Below are 19,507 nucleotides of genomic sequence, written 5' to 3'. Positions count from 1 at the left end.
CATGAGGCCAAAAACATGCTAACAGGAAGCCCTGATACAGGGTGAGGAGGACTGGGGACAAGGGGAGTGGAGGGAGTGGAGAGACCCTGAGCTGGGGTCCAGGGGGCCAGGAGGAAGGCTTCAGAAGGTCCTGGCTTTTCTTGCTCTCCTTTGCCCTGCCCACCCCCACCTCCCTGGTCCAATCCAGGTCATCTGGGCCACTGTGAAGGCCCCCCACTGGACTTCTGGGTTCCCTCCTGTACCCCTAAACATTCTCCACACAGGAACCAGAGGGAGCTTTTATAAAGAAGGTGGAGGCTGATGTGGATGAAGTTATATCAGATCGTCTGACTTGACGTGACCACAGCAAAGTTTCCATCTCTGTATCTCCCTAAATCCACCCAGCTCTCCGACCTCAACCTTCTGTACTGTCTCACCTTATTCCTTAGCCAGTGAGAGGAGTAGCTGGGACACGAGTGAGTTCCAGCCATGATGGGTACGGTTTGCTCTGAGCTCCCCCAGCCCAGCCCACTCCCCTTTGGAGAGCTCCTTCTCTTCTGGCATTTCTCTGACTACTTTGGGGGAGAGGTTGACAAGGATCTCCACCTACAAATCCTCTATTCTGTGAATACGGTATTTGTATTTGTATTCACACACCGCTCTGGAGACCAAACCAACCAACTTCACCTAGACTCGAAGGATCCTTGACACCGACCAAGGGCCTTTGAAGAAAAGACTTCTCACTGAGGGGATACGTGTCTCCCTTCAGTAGGAAACAGAGCTAGAGTTTCCAGCTTGATTCCAGATGGCTTTGGGGAAATTCACAGGTACCATTTTCAAGTGGCTTCAGCAGCACCAGGCACAGTGTCCCACACATGGAGGGTGCTCACTAGCTATTCTTGTATACCAGATAATAATATGAATAACAAGGTAAACACTAGTGGCTCTTTCTTGGGCCCTTGTGAGGTGCCAGTGTCTGTGCTAAGCATTTTGCATGCTAAACACTTTACCTGTAAAGGCAGGACACAGTCCTACCCTCTGACGGTGATGACCAGACGTGTACGGACCATGGGCACAGGAGACGGACATGGGTGGACATTTGCACAGCCCTCTGGAAGCTCACATCGAGTTAGAAAGACAAGATATTGAAAACTGCACTGCTGATAAGGGTTAAACAGCCGTTTGATACAACAATAGAAGAGATACTCAAGGCAGGGCATGACTAATTGCCTGGCAAATCATAGGGATGATAAATGTTTTAGGAACTCAGAGGAGGAAGCCGTTTCTCCAAGCAGGGCAGAACAGACAGACACCAGGGGGGTCACTGTGCCCTTTCAAAGGGGGCCCATAAGGCTGCTCTCTGAGGAGGTCATTGTCACACAGTGGGGGTTGGAAGGGTGCCCTTTGACCGTTTTTTCTTTTTAAGGACTAGGTCAGTATTCAGTCACCCACTTGCCACAGTCTACCCACACTGGAGTCTTCAGGAAACCAGCTAGTTCAGGGAATTGGAGGAAGAGCGAGAGCATGCTCTTTATTTCCTTTCCCACTGTTTCAACCTCTCCAGGACAAGCCTTCCATCTGCAATCTCCCCTCTAGAAAGTGGCACTGGAATTTGGTGTTCACATCATGTGAGAAAAGGCTGAAGACACTGGCTTGGAGTCCCAAAAGCATCTGGGCCATCTCTCCCTTGGCAGATAGATAGGTCCCACATAATTTTACAAAAACATATCATTTTCATGGTGGTGGTAAGACTGATACGTGTTTGGATTTTGCCCGAAATTTCAAGAGGCTAGAGCTGAGAAGTTCCTTTGAAGCTCTCAGAGCCCTGAATTGTGTTCTGTTTGGGTATCTATTAAGAAAACAGCCATTTCATCACGGCTCGTAAAAATTGGTTCATGGATGCCCAAGGCTTTATCTCATTAAATCCTGTCGCTATCTGTAAATGGTGTTCAGGCTGTTTCTCTGTGAGCAAGGTTATCTGACTGTTTAGAAACTCCAACCCTGGATGGTGAGATGCTGCTATCTGCAGATTTGGGAGAGATGACTGGCATTTCCCAAAATGCAAACAATCTCAAAAAGCTCATAGGCCTGGAAGTGCGGCAATGGGGCAGGGGGCAGCTGCTGCCCAGCCCAGTGGGGGCTGCTCTGGGCTCTGGCTGTCCCCAGCAGTGAGAAAGCAGGTGGCTGATGATAAATCACAGGGCTGTCATCTGCAGAGGCTGGCTGGTGACATCACAGCTGGGAAGGGGGCTTCTGGAGCCAGAAGAGGCCCACAGAGAAGTGTGTTGGTGGCTGAATTAGACATAATGGCTCTACACACACTGTGTCTCTCTTTTCCTCTTTCCCCCTCAAATCTGACTCGAATTTCTCATGAACAAACCAACATCTGCAAAAGCACATCCTTGTCGCCAGGGTTAAGAGCAAGTAAGTGATCCTGGAGCCCCTCCCCGCGCTGTGATGCAGTATTAGAAAGTGGCCACCATGGAATCCTGGCCAGTGCAGTGCTAGGGGGCAGTCAAGGGCCAGGCTTTGGGGTCAGAATTCGGGTCAAGTCCGGCCTATACCACTGGACTTCGGACGAGTTACTCAGCCTCTTTGTCTCAGTTTCTCCACAAGTAAAGTGGGCTTGAGATGAGGACAAAGTCAAACAGTGCATCCCAGGGTCTGGACAGGAGCAGCCATGAGTGGGGTGGTGTCTGCAGGATGAGACCCTCACACTCTGGGAGGCTTCAGCCTTGCTGGGACAGCAGGTACTCTTCGACTGAATCCCCTCTAATTTTTGTCCAAACCATCTAAAGATTTGGGCCATGGTGTTCTTTCCCACAGCCCTCCCAAGGACAGGCAGAGGACAGCTGCTAGAGAAGGGAGTGGCATGGGTCAGCTTGCCTAGAAGTCAGAGGGATGCAGGGGGCAGAGATGGGGAAGGCTGAAGTGCCTATGGGCTTCCTTGGTCTGGCCAGGACCTTGGCTTGGCCCCTGAAAATGGCCCAGCAAGAATTTCCAGGCTGGACACGATGGCAAAGCTGAGAGGTAGCAAGAGCCTGGTGTTTACCGCATAGCCAGGAGCAGCAGTGGGAGGCAAGCGGGGGAGGGGAATGGGGTTGGGGAGTCTGTTGTTCTTTTAAATTAAAAATAAGTTCCACATGTTGATGGTCCCCGAGGAACACGGACTCGGCATTGAAGGCCCTGGCAGCCATGTGAAAGCAGGCCCTTGGGAGGACAGGTCTTAGGGAGAACAAGGCACCAAGTATTTCATCAGTTGTCTGAGTCGTTAGAGGAAAACAATATTCCGTGAGTCCCCTGGCACACAACGCCATCAGGACATGAGGCTGGAAGGAAGTAAGAAGAGAGCCTTCCAGAAACCCTAGACAGGATGCTCCTCAGTGATGAGGTTGGGGAGAGAGAGAGAAGTTCCTAGAAACAGGAGCAATAGTGGCTGCTCCACAGCCCCCAAGGCCCTTTGCCCCACTGGCCACCAGTAATGAGACTGGACCTGGTCTCCACAGACACTTTCAGAGGCTGCCCACCCCTTCTCCCCTCCTGCCAGGATAGAGCCCAAACCCCTCATCTGGCCCCCAAAGCCCTTCAATAGGGAAGCAAAAACCACAGTGAGAGGAGCATGGTTCCAGAGCTGACATGCCCAGTAGGACGCCGGCTCCAGGGGCTGCTGGGTGGCCGCTTTCCCTTCAGGGGATCCACTTCTTCAGCCATGTGGGCATCATGGTGGTGAATCCTTCCCATTGAGTCCTTGTCATGAGCACTGAGTGGCAGGACACCCACGGCTTGTAGAATGCTGCCTGGCACATATAAGTCATATAAGTGCTCATTAGCACACAGTAAGTGCTCATTAGCAAAAGCTTCTAGGATTAGCTTTCTAGGCTTTTCTGCACGCCCAGCGATGTCGCATGCACAGGTTGCCTCTGTTGGCAAGTTCATAAAGATATCACAAACCACATTCTGAGGATACGCCAGGCAGGGGACAAACACACAACAAACGTCATCTTATGCCATTCCTTTGCAAGGTAGGTCCCCTTTCACTTGCCAGAAAACAGGGTCCAGAAGTGGAAGCGGCTTGAGCAAGGCCACATGGCCAGAAAGCTGTGAAACCAAGATCTGAACCCAAGACTAAATCTTCTTATCCACTTCCCTTTTTCACCTCCTCCTCAAATGACTTTCTCTGCCCCGTCACCACTGCCATACCCATGAGCACCTCCCCCACTCAATTGTCCTGGCCCACTCCAAGGCCAACCCCACCTGGAGCCATCTTGGTTCACTCAACTGGAACTGGGTGTCATTCTTCAGCTCCTCCACTGGCTTTGCCCTCCTCCATCTTGCACTACAGTCTCCTGGAGCTGTGTCTGGCTTCCTTCCAAGAAAAGGACCCCCTGGCAGGTAGCTGGCACCCAACCCATAGTGTTTAGTGGAATTAGGAATCACATGAGTCTCATGGTCTCAGAGGGCCGCACTCTGCTGTTGTCCATGGGTGCCACAGACTCTTCCAGAAGAGCCACTTCCACAGATGCAACAGGCCTTTTGAAGGAGCCCAGTTCTCAGCATGAGCCAGGATGGTCAAGGTGAGAAACCTATGAGCCCACACTTCTCATTTCCTTAGAATTTCTTGGACTCTGTGAAGAGGAAGGAAAGGAAGAAAAAGAGAGGCAAGGAGGAGAAGAAAGAACAAAAGAAAGAGAAAGAAGATGAGGGAGAGCAGACACAAGGGCAAAGACACAGCAGGAGGGAGTGAGAACAAGAGAGTCAAGAGGAAAAGACACAGCGAGAGAGACAAAGCAGCCTCCGACTGCGGACGCGCCAGCAGCTCATGCACCCCCAAGAAACCCGGACCTAACACCAAGCTTCGGTCAGCCTTGAGCTGGGAGCCTGGGGGGCTCTGGCTTGGCTACAGAGGAGAAAATCACCCCAAGTTCTCAGTCAAGGGGGGTACCAAGCCAAGGGGAGCGTGCATGGCAGGGAGGCTCAAGCCAACGTGTGGCCTCCTCACGCAGCACTGCAAGGACGCATGGAGCATTGATTCCCAGCATGGCATTCCCAATCAGAAATAGCCAATACCCAAACCTCTTAAAGCTCCTGCCTCTAATAGCAGCATTTCTTCCACTGTCATCAGTGGTAACACACTGATCTATAAAAGGTTTTAAAAGTGCTACAAATAGCTCCTCCAGTCCCCTGAAGTCAAGCTTATTGGGGGAAATGGCTGACTTGATTGCTCCCTGCACAGTGGCATCTGGATGTGATGAACAGAGTGAGCTCATCTCAGGACTTTTAGGGCAGCCTGGGTACTTCCGGAGTTGGGTGGAGAGCCCCCTGGGCTAGCGGCTGCCTGGCCACTGTCCCTCTGCCCTTCACTTCCTTCCTCTCTGGGGTGGGACAAGGGCGAGGCAAGCAAGGTATCATATTTAAGGTGGCACTCACTCACAAGGGGTGCTGGCACAGGGTTGGACTCTGAAGGTGAGCGCCCCCTTAAATTAGTACCCTGGGCATCTCACTTGAGTGGGAGAGAAGGAACACAGGGCTCTGCCCACATGGCCTCACTTTCCTCATCCATAAAATGGGATCACCTATCCCCATCTTGGCAGCTATTTATTGACCTCGTACATTGCACCAGATACTGTTCCAGGTGCTGGGTTTCCAGAGACAGGAAGTACATCTGCACTCAGAGCTCACAGTCCGGTGGAGCAGGCAGAGGGAGGGAGGGACCCCAGCCAAGCACCACTGTGTTGCATGTGAACTCCAGTTTAATAGGTCCAATGACTGCCAGGTGGCCAGGGATACAGGCTGGTGCCAACATCTGTAAAGCATGTGGGAAGGGTGGGGAAACCGTGTCCCAGCAGTGATAGAAAAATGCAGGGACACCGGCTGAGGGGAAGCCAGTGAGGCCGGGCTGCAGAGGGGGAGGGCAGGGCAGGTCACGCCACCCAGGAAGGTGGGCCTGCCTTGGGTCACACTGAGACGTGCAACTTAGGGGCCCTCTCCGCTGTCACCCTTAAGGCTCACAGCCACTAGGCCACTTCCCAAACAATCTGTGATCTGGACAATTCTGAGCTGTGTCTCATCCAAACCTACCTCTCCCGTGTCACTGGGTGCCTAGTCTCTTGCTAAGTGTTGGCAACACATTTTTACCTACACTAAAGAGTCATTATGCTGCTACTATTTCTTCTAGAAAACATAGGTCCATTTTCAACAGGGCAGGCTTTCTGCCTGCTCTCTCGTCTCCAAAGGAGGCCCCTAATGATGGAGATGTAAGTCTGGTCTGGGCTCAGCCAAGAGCAGAGGACTCACGTTTACCATGCTCTTCCCAGCTCCCTGGCCCTCAAGGATGTTTCCAAACTTGCTCTTCTTTTCCGAGCCGGCCTCCATCCTGCTGGTGGGCACGTTAACACCAGCTGACAGATAACAGGCATGCACGTGGAATCACACCTTCCTGCTTTCTGAGGATGGACAAGAGTCTGGGGCTGGTGCTCCATGACATCTTCCTCTAGAAGCTTCTGGGCCGCATCTAGAAGAACAACCCATCAGGAGGAGAGAATCAAGATCCACCCTCCCGATCACAGCCTACAGGTTCATCTCTGCAAGCGCACCTCTCACCGCCTCCCCCTGCTCTCCAGCCCTGCCGACCTCCCTAGAATATGGAAGCACGTTCCTGCCCCAGGGCCTCGGCTCGGGCTGCTCCCTCTGCTCAGATGCCCTCTTTCAGCAGCTCTCCCAGTTGCTCTTTCTTGCACCATTGCACCTACTTTTCTGCCTTGCTGTTCACACGAGCCTTCACTCAGCATGCATCTGCTGAGTGCTTACTGTATGCAAGCCCTGTACTCAACACAGAGACGCAGCAAGATCAGCATGGCTCTGACCATATGGGGTTTGATTCAGTACACAAATAAGCGTGGATGGTCATTCCAGGCAGTCCTAGTAGCTCTGAAAACACATGAAGCACGGCCCCTTGATGTCGGCTCTGCTTCTTCTTATTTGTCTGTTTCTGTTTGCTGTCTGCCCTCCCCCTGGACCGTCAGCTTCATGAGGTCGGGGGTTGGTGCTGCCATTTTCTCTCTAGAAGCTTCTGGACCATGCCCAGAAGAGCAACCCATTGTGGAGGGTGGCTGCCCCTGGTGGGGATGGGGGCAACTTTTCCCATGAAGAGCCTCCCAGAGTCTCAGGCCTCAAGCAAGGCCAGAGAGGCCCCACTGCCCGCATCTGGGGGACACCCCAGAGACATGGACTGGAAATGGTTCGAGCCTGGCCCACAGCCCACGGAGCTTCTGAGAAGAGCAGTGCTGGGAGCACATCTGTCTGCCCTCGGACCCCCGGGTTCCAGCTGGGCACAGCGTCCACTGGCTCTTCAATCCCTTTCCCATCGTCCTCAAGGAGAGGAGAGTTTAATTCCACAACGGCCCGAAGCATAGGTGTGGGTGACTCAGAGCGGGCGGATGAGAACAGGAGGCCAGCAGGGATTCCGGCTGAGTGCGGCCCCCGCAGCCTCCGGCTCAGCCAGTGACTCACTCCAGACACTGCGTGAGTCAGCGGCTCTGCGGCTCTGGCCAGCTCTGACGCCCTCCGCACACTAATGAGACCCCAGCAGGACAGAGTACATGGAGGATGGGGCGCTCAGGCAGAGGGCACGGGAGGGCACACACCCCCCAAATGCACACACGTGTGTGCACACAGTTCACACAATCACACGCTATCACACACACTCGTACACAGGTGCACACACACACTTTCCAGTGCACACATGCATGTGCACACAGTATACACACACATCACACGCTATCACACACACTCGTACACACATGTGCACACACACCCTCCAATGTACATACTCATGCGCATGGTTCACACACACTTCACACACACTATCACACTCACTTGTACACAGGTGCACACACACACCCTCCAATGCACACACTCATGCACACAGTTCACACACACTTCACACACTATCCCACGCACTGGTACATACACACATGCACACACACCCTCCAATACACACACACGTGCACACAGTATACACACATCACACACTATCTCACACACTCATACACATGTGCACACACCCCCTCCAATGCACACGCATTACACACAGTTCACACACACTTACACCCACCCATATACACACATCACACACACTCATACACACATTCACATCCACATTCACAAACACACCCTTGAATGCACACACTCATATGCACAGGGTTCACACCCACCTCCATGCACCCTCATACACACTCATGTTCACATCCACATTCACACACATGTGCATACACACCCACATCTACATCCACACTTACTATACACACATTCTCATATGCCTACACAGCCCCCTCCCTCTTTCCTTCCTTCCATCATCATTCCTTCCTTCCTTCTTTTCTTCTCTCCCTCTCCCCATGCCTTCCTCCTTTCCTTCCTGGTTAAGCACATGGGTTTTGGGACCAAGGTCATCCTACCCCAGCCCTGCCAACCAGCGATGTGACCACGGACGTGCGGCTGTGCAGCTCTGTCTGCCTTGACTCCTCATCTGTGAGACGTGGAGACTGTGAATGCCCCTTCCTAGGATGAGCCTCCATGTGAAGTGCTGATCGCAGCTGGACACACCACAGCACACAGCGTTGGCTCTGGCCCCTGTGGTCAGGATCAGTCACTGAGCTGTGCTTCCGACAACCGTCTGCTGGATGCACAGTCTGAGCTGCTCAGTCTGAGCTGCACAATCCTCCTCTTTGTAGACCCAGAGGCTGGGAGTAGAGACCACAGGTACACAGATGAGTTACACTCCAGACAACAAGTGAGCCACCGAGCTGGCACCAAGTGGGGTGGGCGTGGGAGGCACAGAAGGCTTGGGTTTGGGGGAAGAAAACCATAGGGGTAATGTGGAGGAAGGGTTGACAATGATAAACAACCGTTCAGCTTTCTCGTTACTGCTGCCAACAGTTCAGGGAGGGTGGTCAGCAGGGATCTGAGAGCTGGGGAGTGGCCTTCAGCCAGAGGTGACCAGCACTGAGCAGGAAGAACCACTCAGAGGTTTTTTGTTAACCTCCGGGTGGAGGAGAAGGGTGTCTTCTTGTACTGACAATGCTCTTTTGGTTGTCAAGAGCAGAAATCCACTTCAGTGTGGCCCCAGGAAAAACTGGGACTTTACTGGCTCATGAAAGTGCATATCTGTGGTGATAGGGTGGATTTCAGGCATGGCGAGACCCAGGAACATCAGAGCTGCCACCAGGAATCTAGGTCTTTCTCTACTCTGAGCTCTGGTTTCCTCCACATTGGCTTCATTCCTAGGCAGGCTCCCCCTGTATGGGGGATCATGATGGGTCCCGACTTGCAGCCACCCCAGTCGGCCTTCCCACAGAAAAAGCTTGTTTCCCTACAGTCCTTCCCAAAGCCATGATCGCATCTTCTTAACTCACCGGCTCATGTGCCCATCTCTAAGTCAGCCCTAGTGGCCAGAGGATAGAATGCTCTAATCAGCTCTGGGTCATGAGCTTCACGCAGACATCATGGGTTGAAAGCTGGGGAAGGGTGGTCCCTAAAGAAAAACCAGCGCACTGCCACCGGAAGAAGGGGATGCAGGGCTGTTGGAACAACAGAGTCCATCTTCTTTAGTAGCAGGGCCTGGGAGGCCTGCTCTCTAAAAGACAGAGAGATGGTGACTGGTGGACTGGGGGAAGATGGGCTGAACTTGTGAGTGGAGAGCAATGGGGAGATGGGGACAGGCTACGTCCCCATTTAGAGACTAGATTTCATCTGGACAGATTTCAAGATGTGGGTATGAAGCGTTAAGGTTTGTGTTGGTGGATGGAGCTCCTTGGGGTGGGGGTACTAGACTCCATAAGGAGGGTGTGTTAATTTTCTGGGATTACCACACCAAATTGCTACAAATTGCGTAGTTTCAAACCACAGAAATTTACTGAAGTCCAAAATGAAGATGCCGTCCAGACCGTACTCCCTCTGAAGGCGGTGTGGAAGGACCTGTCCCTCCCAGCTCTCTCCCAGTGTCTGTTGGCTGCGGGGATCCTGGCATTCCTTGGCTCGTAGACACATCACCCCCAGTCTCTGCCTCAGTCTTCACACGGCCTTCTCCTCATGTCTCCTCCTTTTTAGCTTCTCAAAAGGACACCTGCCATTGGATTTAGGGCCGTCCCCAATGTAGGATGATATCATCTCCAGATCCTTACCTTAGTGACATCTGCAACGACCCTTATTCCAAATTAGGTCACAATCCAGGTGGACCTATCTTTTGGGGAGAAACAATTCAGTGCACTTCAGGGGGGCTTGATTTTTGAGGGGCATCTACAAAATGCTATGTTAGCGAGAGATGAGAGTTCTGTGGTGAGGACAAATGAACACACCCACTTATTTACTGATTGATTCTAAATGTTTATTAAGCATCTGTCAAGTGCCAAATGTTCAGTGATGTGACAGCATCCTGCCCTCACGCTGCTTACTGTCCAGCTAAGACACCAATGACACAGAAACCGGCAATGACATGGCTGAGTGGACGCCATGCACAGATGGCGCCTCCTCCAATGAGGGGGGAGGTTGGTACAGAGGCCAGTGAAGAGTTCCTGGAGGAGGAGATGTGGACCATGACCATGTGGTGAGGGACTAGACGGGAAGGGCTGATGGGGAGAGCATTCGGGGAAGCCCAGGAGTTAAAGTCAGGCTGCGCCCACCAGACGCAAGCAGCAGCTGCCTGTGCGTCTCCCCAAGGCCCACAGCTCTTACCTGATTGCGGCTGTAAAGCACACGCTGGTACCTGCAAGGCCATCCCTTCCCACCACCGAAGGACACCTGCATGTGAATGTGTGTGCACGTGTGTGCGTGTGTATGTATGTGTGCGTGTGTATGTGTACATATGTGTGTGCATGTGTGTATGTGTGTGTGTGTGTGTACGCGACGCTCTAGCTCAGGGGCAGGGTTTCTGTGTGGGGTGGGGTTCCTAGGGCTTCTGGCCCCGACTCCAGGATTTAGGCATTCCCATTTGCTTGCTGACATATTTCATTGTCCCCAACCAAAGGAACGTGTGCACAGAGGCCGTGTCATTCCATAGCAATGGTTTGGGAGCACAGTTGTCCTCAGTGGCCCCTGTAAATGTCTTGGCTTCAATATGGAGCCTGAAGGATGTTGGGGTGGCCAGCTCTGCCAGCTAGACCAGGCTCTGTGCCACCGTCCCCAAGGCAGGAGTCCAGGGGCCTCACTGGGGACCTGCCTGGGAAGCTCGGCTTCTCCCACCCCAGCCTCATCCTGGGCAGCGTGGAGGGCACAGACAGGACTGCAGAAGGCTCCTTTGCAGGGTCCCACCAGCTGGGGCTTGAGGGGCCCTGAGGGTTGGTTTCTGTCCCAGGAGGAGGCTTGGCATTTCTGTGCCTTCATTTCCCCAGCTGCAAAGCATCATGCAGGGCATGGCCCCTGCTTGCGAAAATGCTTAACGCTACTCTCACCACTAGCTCTAGCTCGGCTCTCCCAACCAGCCTCGAGACCTCGGGCAAGTCCCTGAGCCTCTCTGTGCCTCAATTTCCTCATCTGCAAAATGGAGATAATGACAATACTTACTCATACAGTTCTCCTCAGCATTACATAAGCCAGTCCATACAAAGTCGATGTATATTAAGTGCTTACCACGCCATCAATGAAACACTCAAAAAATTACTATTACGATGATGATGATTTTTATTTTTACTGTTGCCCATCCTTTAGGTCTTGGCAAAAATGTGGCTGTCGCCAACCACTTTGTCTAAAATAAGTGGACTTTGTGATTACCTCCCATCGTGTTCTTTTTTTTTCCTTCATGGCTCTTGCGCATTTGTAATGAGATATTTACATGTGCAAATTCTTTTATTTCATGTGCTTCCTCTACCAGACTGTGAGCCCCGAGGGGGTGGGGGCTGAAATGTGCTCCTCACGGCAAGCTCAGGGCCCTGTACAGCCCCAGCGAGTGGTAGAAATCAATAAATATCGAATGAAAATAGTCCTTGGATGATCGAATGGCTTTTGATCTGGTTTGATCAGGCAGCTGTGCCTTGCTGCACGGTGGCTGCACCTGGCCCCTGCAGTGCTCCGCCAGCCCCGCCTGTGCTAAGGGATGGGGCTGTTGGAGGAGCCGAGAGCTACAGGAAGGCCCTTGCTGAGAGGCTGAGAGGCTCTGGCCCACCGCTGACCGCACGTGCTTCCGGCCTGCAGGAGCGGGGACAGACTCTGACCCCAGAAGGCAGTTGCTCCTCCGTCCTCCTGTCCGAGCTTCATGGGGAAAGTTGGGGCAATTTAAGCCTGTCTGGCAGCAAGGGGTTGGGTCAGGCGAGTCCAAAGCTGCTGCTTCCCTGGGGGTCTGCTGGGACACACCCCAGTCCCTTGTCCTGGGACTCGACACCCTTCAGGGCTTCCCGCCCCAGTTCCTTCTGCCCCTGCCTCTTTCCCAGTGATGCCTCTGAGCCTGGGCAGAGTGGCCCTGGGCTGCTCTTGCTGTTGGCTCCAGCTCTGGCAGGGGCTACTCTTGAAGAAGCTTGTCTGAAGTCCAGGGTAGGCACCCCAGGTACAGTCCATAGAGAGCAAATTGCGCAGCAACCAAGGGCCGGGGCAGCACATGCCTCAGCATGGGAACACCAACCGCGAATCGTCTCAGTTACACAGTCCATGTTGTGACAAGCTGGGATAGATCTTGAAATATAATGAGTGAGCCAGGCCTGCCGCGTTTCTCCTCCCAATGCCTCTGGAGCCAGCTCTGTGGCTCAAGACCTCCTGCAACGGTCTTCATTTTCATACATTCCAAAGGCGGAACTGTTTTTCTTTGCTGACTTGTTCAAGACATCTAGATTAAGAAAGAAAAAAAAAAAAAAAAAAAACCTCCTCACATCCCCAACACAAAATCAACAAACTGACTTTTTTTCTCAAGAGTCCGAACAGAAACAAGTATGTAAGTATCCAGAAAACATATCTGCCATTAGCTGAAGCCTGAAAGACAGAAAGCAGATGACGGGGTAGGGGGCAAGGGAGGAGGGGAGATACTCGTGCAGCTATTACAGTGACACTTTATGTAAAGCTGGGCACTTGGCAGAAACCCAAATGGTGACCATGGATGAGACCATATGCTTTGGCCAAACCCCTGAGTCTCTCAGGGGCAGGAATTGTCCTCCAAAGGAGAGCTTAAGACCTTGAACAAAATAATTGCCACATACAAGAGTGTTTGTTGTAAGGAATCTAGAAGCCCCATTGAACAAAAATCTAATCGTGAGGGTTGGGGTAGGGAGGTGAGCAGTCATCTACATGGAACTGTTCTCTCAACAGTGGAGAAGCTTCTATTACCAAGATGGAAAATACCAAGATCTTAACACACGATAGAGCCTGGTGCTGTTTGGACAGAACTGACTGAGCCCCAAAGGGGAAATTCCATACAAAAGAGATGCAGGAGCAGTTAGAAGCCCACTGCACGGTCCACAAAGGTGCTGCTGACTGCTTCTGAGAGTCCTGTCAGTGGCAGACATCACCTGTTCTCATCTCTGTGGTTTGTATGGAATCGTCACAGACACAAGCTGTCCTGCAATTTAGGGGCTGCTTGCACAGCTGGAGGGACCCTATCCAACTCGAAAATAAGATTACCTTCACCAGGTCCCACCTACCTAGAGGGAAGGCAGAGAGTACACACAATCCCACCTCTGGGCCTCCCGCTGATGGACATGATGCCTAGCATACAATCAGTGATCAATACACACTTACGAAGTGAAGGAAGGAAAACATGCTGAGCTTCTTATGCCTCCCTGTCTTTCTACGCAATTCTTTTTGTCTTTCAGAGCCCTCCTAAAAGGACACTGACTCCATGTGTGTTTCCGCCTCTTCCAGTATGTGCCCTGTGTCAGTGTTGGCTTCTGTGTGTTCTGTGAGGGTGAGGACCTCTCCTGGCTCTCACCTTCAACCCTCACCTCACGAGGAGGAAGGTGCAGATACTCCATAGGTGCTTAGGAGTGTAAGTGTTGAGTGACTGCTGACAAGAAAAGAGGAGATACGATCTGATACACTTAGACTTCAAATCCAAACCTTGAAAGTCCCACCCAGTGGGGGACTCTTGCCGCCTTGAGAGAAGCACAGCTGATGTACGGAAAGCAATATTGTAAACATAACAAATAAATACAAATCAAAACCACAAGAGACCATGTGATGCCCATGGCTGAAATAAAAAAGACAGACAATAACAAGTGTCGACAAGGAGACAGAGCAATTGGAACCTTCATTCACTGCTGATGGCAACATAAAAGGTGCAGCTGCTTTGGAAAAGGATCTGGCTGCTCCTCAAAAAGTTAAACACAGAGCTACCACATGACGTACTATTCCACTCCACTCCTAGGTGCATTCCCAGGAGAAATGGAAACATAGGTTCACACAGAAACTTGCAGACAAGTATTCATAGCAGCAATATTCGTCCTAGCCAAAATGTAGAAATAGTCCAAGTGTGCATCAGCTGATGCATCGCACCAACAAACATGGTTCATCCAGATGACAGGGTATCATCCAGCCACAAAAAGGAAGGAAGCGGTGATCCAGGCCACAGCATGGATGAACCCCGGAAATGTTATGCTAAGTAAAAGAAGCCAGACACAAAGGAGCACATATTGTATAAATCCATTTACATGAAATGTCCAGAATAGGGAAGGCCATAGGGACAGAAAATAGATTTGTGTTGGCTTTGAGCTGGAGGGGAGGGCAGAAGCAGAATGGGGTGACTGCTAACGCAATGGGCTTTCTTTTGGGGGTGAATGCTCTAAAATATAGTCTGATTATGGTTACACAGCTCTGTAAATGTACTGAAAGCCATCGCAATGGGTGAATTGCATGGCCTATGAATTAGATCTCAATGCAGCTGTTAGAAACAATGGTGGGTTCAGGTCTGGACTCAGCCACTTCCTCGTCTTGTGACCTCAATGCTCCTCTCTGAGCCCTGAGTCCTTCATGGCACAGCCACGAGATCTGTCTCGAGGTGGTTGTGGGAGATGAAATGAGATACTCCACAGAGAGGACTTGGCTCCCAGCTGGGCAGAGAGCGAACCCTCGGTCCACTTACACAGCACCTATTCAGGGAGTGCTTCCTGACATGCCCGGGGACTGGAGAGGGACAAGATAGGGTCTTCCCTCTCACACTGATCTGCATGGCTGGCCCACACCTCTCAGTTCCTCAAACCTTCCAAAGAACACCAGCAATCAGAGATGCTGGGTTGCTCCATCACTGTTGGCCAAATGACCTCGGGAGAGGAGAAGCAGAGCAGGGTTTGGGGAGCAGACCCCCACGTCTGACAGCATACCAGCTCAGAGCATGGCGAGAATTCCAGCACAAGGTGCACACATTTTTTTGCCCATGGCTGTGGTGACCCTGCTGTGTGCCAGCCTCAGCCCCACAAGGTCACCTGAGCTATGTTCCTGGTCCCAGCTCACCCAGCCTCTTCAAGGAAGCCGTTACCTGCACCGTTTGATGGGTTAGGGCCCCTGAACCCAAACATAGCCCCTTGATCTGCCTCCACCCCACTTTCCTTGCCAGGTCTCTAAGATCTAGCATTCCGTGGGCCCCTGCCCTGCCTCCATGGCCCCAGAAGTGCCAACCATACTGGTGCCATGCTGCCTCCAGCTCCGAGCTGGGGTGTCCTATACTCAGCCAGTGGCTTCTGCCTCTCCCCTGGTCCTTTCCCCCTTTCTCTCTCCCTTTTGCATGGAAAGCATTTCACACTCATTCCTCTAAAAACAGCGTCACGGTTGGGCCCAGGCACCAACCTGAGCTCTCCCTGCCCACCTGCCTCGCTGCTCTTGGTCAGAGGAAACACATTAAGGAGAGGAAGAGCGTGTGGACAGCTGTCCTGGCTACTCTTTCCTGTACTTCCCTCAAAGCAGCCCAGCCCTGGCCTGTTGGGCCGAGGAACCGTTTGCACCCTGCAGACAGTGGGGATCCCAGGCGTGGGTTCGTGCTGCCTGCATTCTCGGAGTCCACAGGCCCGGCGGACACACACATAGTGTCCATGATGACCAGGAAAGCACACCATGGTCCGTTGTGGGGCTGTGGGTGGTGATAGTGGGGAGGGGGGGTACACTCTGGGATCAGCTTGACTGTGGGTCCCCTGCCCAACGGCCGTGAGACGCTGGCTGAATGGCTGGGCCACTAAAACCTCTGTTTCTTCATTGGTGAAATGACGATGGCTGTTGTGAGGTCACAGTGAACAAAGGCAAGCAAAATGGCTTCGCCTTGCACCCGGAGGACACTCCGGTGATTGGCAGCACATTGTTGATTGACACATATACTGCTGAGGTGGCACACACAACCACATGGTCCGTGTCTCTCATTTCTAAACAAACATGAGCTCATGCAAGGACCTGGTGCCAGGCAACTTGGATCTAGGCCCACAGTGAAGAGGATCCTGGGGCCAGAGGGGAGACGCGAGGACGAGGTAGGGGCTCACCTGCGCCAGGCACAGTTGCAAATGCCTTACGTATACCAATCACCCCCTACTCCCCACTGTGACTCTACAGGGGAGGCACAGCCATTAGCCTCATTTGACAGACAAGAATGGTGAGGCTCAGAGAGCTGAAGTCACTGCCCCAAGTCACAGAGTGAGCTAGTGGCAGAGACTCATGGAAGTTGTCCTCCAACAGAAATCCCAAACAACATGGGCTCAGGTCCGAGGTGTACTGCTTAGGAGCTTGGTGGCTTTTGGGGTGCCCCTTGCACTCCTGTGCCTCAGCTTCCTCACCTCGGGACAGAGGTGCATGTGCCCACTTCTGACTGAGCCTCCAGGGTGGAGGAGGATGAAGGGCTGCAGGGCTGCACGTTGCATATACCCCAAAGTGGCGGAGCATCCCTACTGCCTTCGGTGCCATTGGAGCACCCAGGGACGCATGGGTGAGGCAGTGAGCCGCCCGTGTAGCCTCACCTGCTAGAGACGGGAGCACATGGAGGCCCTTGTGCGGCCCTGAGCAGTCAGGTGGGTCACCCTGTGAAGAAAGGGCAAAGCAGCCTCACTAGTGACCCCGGGACCCAGGGAGGCTCCGTGCACAGGCTGCCGGGGCTACTGCTGCTGCCGGAGCCCCTCTCCCAGGCCAAGCCTCTGCCTGCTCCAGTGCGGATGTATAGGCAGATGTGTGAGGGTTGGGCTGCTGAAGTTAGGGCTCTCTGAGGCCCCTGTCATGTCAGGGCGGCTCCCAAGCAGCCTGTTCTCTGCTGCCAGCAGCATCTCCCACCCCACCGTGAGGCTGCAGCTCCCTCCTCTCATGCCCCTAAGGAGACAGGCACCCTGTTCTTTGCGTGTGCTAAAGCACCGCACCCCTATTTTTGCCTAGCTCACTCCCGCTTATCTTTCCTCCAGCCCCAGAAGGGCCCTGTTGACCCCTAGCCCCATTCTTTGCCCCCAAGACACTCTGTCCTTTCTTCCCTAGCTCAGGGCTGCTGGGAGAGCCTGATTCGTCGTCTCTCTACCCACTAGACTGCAAACTCTGAGGGACTTGTGTGTTGGGGTCTCTGGGCCCCCAGCATCCAGTGCTCTAGGAAGAATTGTGGAAGGACAGGAGGCAGTGGGGAAGGAAGGTTTCCTCTCATACCAGCCAAAGCCAGAAGGGCCCAGTGAGTGTTAATCAAAGAGTCCTCCCTGGAGGAGGTGGCTGATGGGGCCTAAGAGGTCTGGGCCCAGCCTCAGGACCCATTGTCTGCTGCTGTTGCCCAGCTTCATGTCTGATCCCCACACAAACCCTCCTGCCATTGACCTCTCCCGGGGCTGGGGCCGACACAGCCTTGGGCCACTGTGTCCCGGGAGAACCAGGGCCCGTGTCAGGCCTTTCCCTCCTTTTCACCGGCCTCATCAGGGCATTTTTGGAGAAACAAATTCCCGGCATCTCAGGGCTGTGGGCTGCTGGCGGCCAGCTTCCTGGTTTGCCCAAGACTAAAGCAGGCCCAGGGGCCTGGCATCTAATCTGGGGACCCTGATGGTGTTGGCCGGCCGCGTAATTGGCATGAGGTGGCAGCGGCAGCCACTGTGCCAGGGGACAAGTCCATGAGGCTCCTGAGTACCTGAAGTCCGGGCCTTATTTAATTTTGTCCTTTTCAATTAAAATCACCCCTCTCTCCCTTCTGCAGAAACAGACAGGCTCAGACAAACATGGAGTGAATTTCGTTCCAAGATGGTTCCCCACCACCTTTTTTCTTTTTCTTTTCCTTTTCTGTTTTCTTTTTTCTTTTTTTTTTTTTTTTTGAGGCAGGATGTTGATCTGTTGCCCAGGCTGGAATGCAGTGGCACAATCTCAGCTAGCTGCAGCCTCAACCTCCCGAGCTCAAGCAATCTTTTCGCCTTAGCCTCCCAAGCAGCTAGGACCACAGGCATATGCCACCACGGCTGGAGAATTTTTGTATTTTTTGTATACACAGGGTCTCACTATGTTGCCCAGGCTGGTCTCGAACTCCTGGGCTCAAGTGATCCTCCTGCCTCAGCCTCCCCAAGTGCTGGGATTACAGGCATGAGCCATTGCACCTGGCCTTTTTCCCATTTTCTTTCCTGAGTACATATCTCTAACCTTTCTCCCTGGAACATTAATCAGGGTCTGTGCTCTAGGAAGCTCCCACCTCTTCTTCCCTCTGTCCCTCTCTTCCTTTTTCTTTTTTTACTAGGGAATGGCCAGTGGCTGTGTCCTCAGAGGGTGGGGAGGGAGAAGCAAGCACCACACGCGGTGAATACAGCTTCAAATATCTGGAGCTTCGGGAAGCCAACGCCATCCAAATGGTGTCTTATGTTAAAGCAATAGAGGAAAAGTGAGAAAACTTTTCTACCTCCACCTCCCACCCAGCCCCCTCCTTAAAAGGAAAAAAAAAAAAGGTTTCTGTACACTCAAGTTCCCACAGTGATACAATGTAAGTTTTTAAAACAACACAAACATTGACCTTGGCAGATGGCCCCGTGGAAAGAATAGGCATTATCGACACAACGGAATGACTTAAGAAGACAAGGTGCCTCCCCAAGGAAGCAGAGAACATGGCGGCTTTGCAAGAGTCTATTCACAGGACGCCAGAGTCAACAGGCCCTGACCCCTGCGGGCCTGAGGGGGCCCCAGACAGCCCCTCCCGCAGCCGCCTCCTGGAACTCTCTGCCCTTGGGTCCTCAGGGTGCCTTCACTTGTTGATTGTGACCTTACGGATTTAAGAACCCAGCCGGGGTGTGCTTTCCGCCAGGCACGGGGGGCCACAGTGGCACCCTCTGCCCCTCAACCTGGCGGGGGACACAGGCACGCTTGGTGGCCAAGACTTCTGTCCCATTTAGGATTGAGGAGCAGATCCTGGGGAGCTAGCCAAATACTGTTAGCTGATCAGTGAAAGCTCTGGTCACTAGAAAAGAGAGAGGGAGGAAGAGGGAGGGAGGGAGGAAAAGGGGGGAAGGAGGGAGGGAGGGAGGGAGGGAGTCTTCCTCTCAAGCCAGCATGGGTCCGAAATCCAGCTCTGCCCTTTCTAACCATGAGACCTTGCAGGCGTTCCTCAAACCACGTTTGTGACACGAGAGCCAGTGACAGTTCCTGG

General features: G+C 52.8%; 1 long non-coding RNA gene across 1 annotated transcript in view, besides 4 other annotated features; it reads right to left on the bottom strand.

Annotated features, from left to right (window-relative positions):
• Positions 7,320 to 7,614: an enhancer, noted in NCBI's record as "tiled region #4326; HepG2 Activating DNase unmatched - State 4:PromP, and K562 Activating DNase matched - State 5:Enh". NCBI's record gives its function as "activates a minimal TATA promoter and a strong SV40 promoter by Sharpr-MPRA in HepG2 and K562 cells {active_cell/tissue: HepG2 | K562}" and the evidence as "EXISTENCE:reporter gene assay evidence [ECO:0000049][PMID:27701403]".
• Positions 10,247 to 10,916: an enhancer, noted in NCBI's record as "H3K4me1 hESC enhancer chr20:57195667-57196336 (GRCh37/hg19 assembly coordinates)". NCBI's record gives its function as "activates a minimal SCP1, AML or CMV promoter by ChIP-STARR-seq in naive H9 embryonic stem cells {active_cell/tissue: H9 hESC(naive)}" and the evidence as "EXISTENCE:reporter gene assay evidence [ECO:0000049][PMID:30033119]".
• Positions 10,917 to 11,588: an enhancer, noted in NCBI's record as "H3K4me1 hESC enhancer chr20:57194995-57195666 (GRCh37/hg19 assembly coordinates)". NCBI's record gives its function as "activates a minimal SCP1, AML or CMV promoter by ChIP-STARR-seq in naive H9 embryonic stem cells {active_cell/tissue: H9 hESC(naive)}" and the evidence as "EXISTENCE:reporter gene assay evidence [ECO:0000049][PMID:30033119]".
• APCDD1L-DT (APCDD1L divergent transcript) overlaps positions 11,635 to 19,507 on the bottom strand; it is a 104,514-nt gene continuing 96,641 nt past the window's right edge. The window contains exon 7 of the long non-coding RNA NR_034147.1: positions 11,635 to 12,787. This is a non-coding gene — a long non-coding RNA (APCDD1L divergent transcript). The remainder of the gene's footprint in view (positions 12,788 to 19,507) is intronic.
• Positions 12,261 to 12,932: an enhancer, noted in NCBI's record as "H3K27ac-H3K4me1 hESC enhancer chr20:57193651-57194322 (GRCh37/hg19 assembly coordinates)". NCBI's record gives its function as "activates a minimal SCP1, AML or CMV promoter by ChIP-STARR-seq in primed H9 embryonic stem cells {active_cell/tissue: H9 hESC(primed)}" and the evidence as "EXISTENCE:reporter gene assay evidence [ECO:0000049][PMID:30033119]".

The sequence above is a fragment of the Homo sapiens genome, chromosome 20, assembly GCF_000001405.40.
Source record: "Homo sapiens chromosome 20, GRCh38.p14 Primary Assembly".
NCBI classification, from domain to species: domain Eukaryota; kingdom Metazoa; phylum Chordata; class Mammalia; order Primates; family Hominidae; genus Homo; species Homo sapiens.
This window is presented reverse-complemented; position numbering and strand designations above follow the sequence as displayed.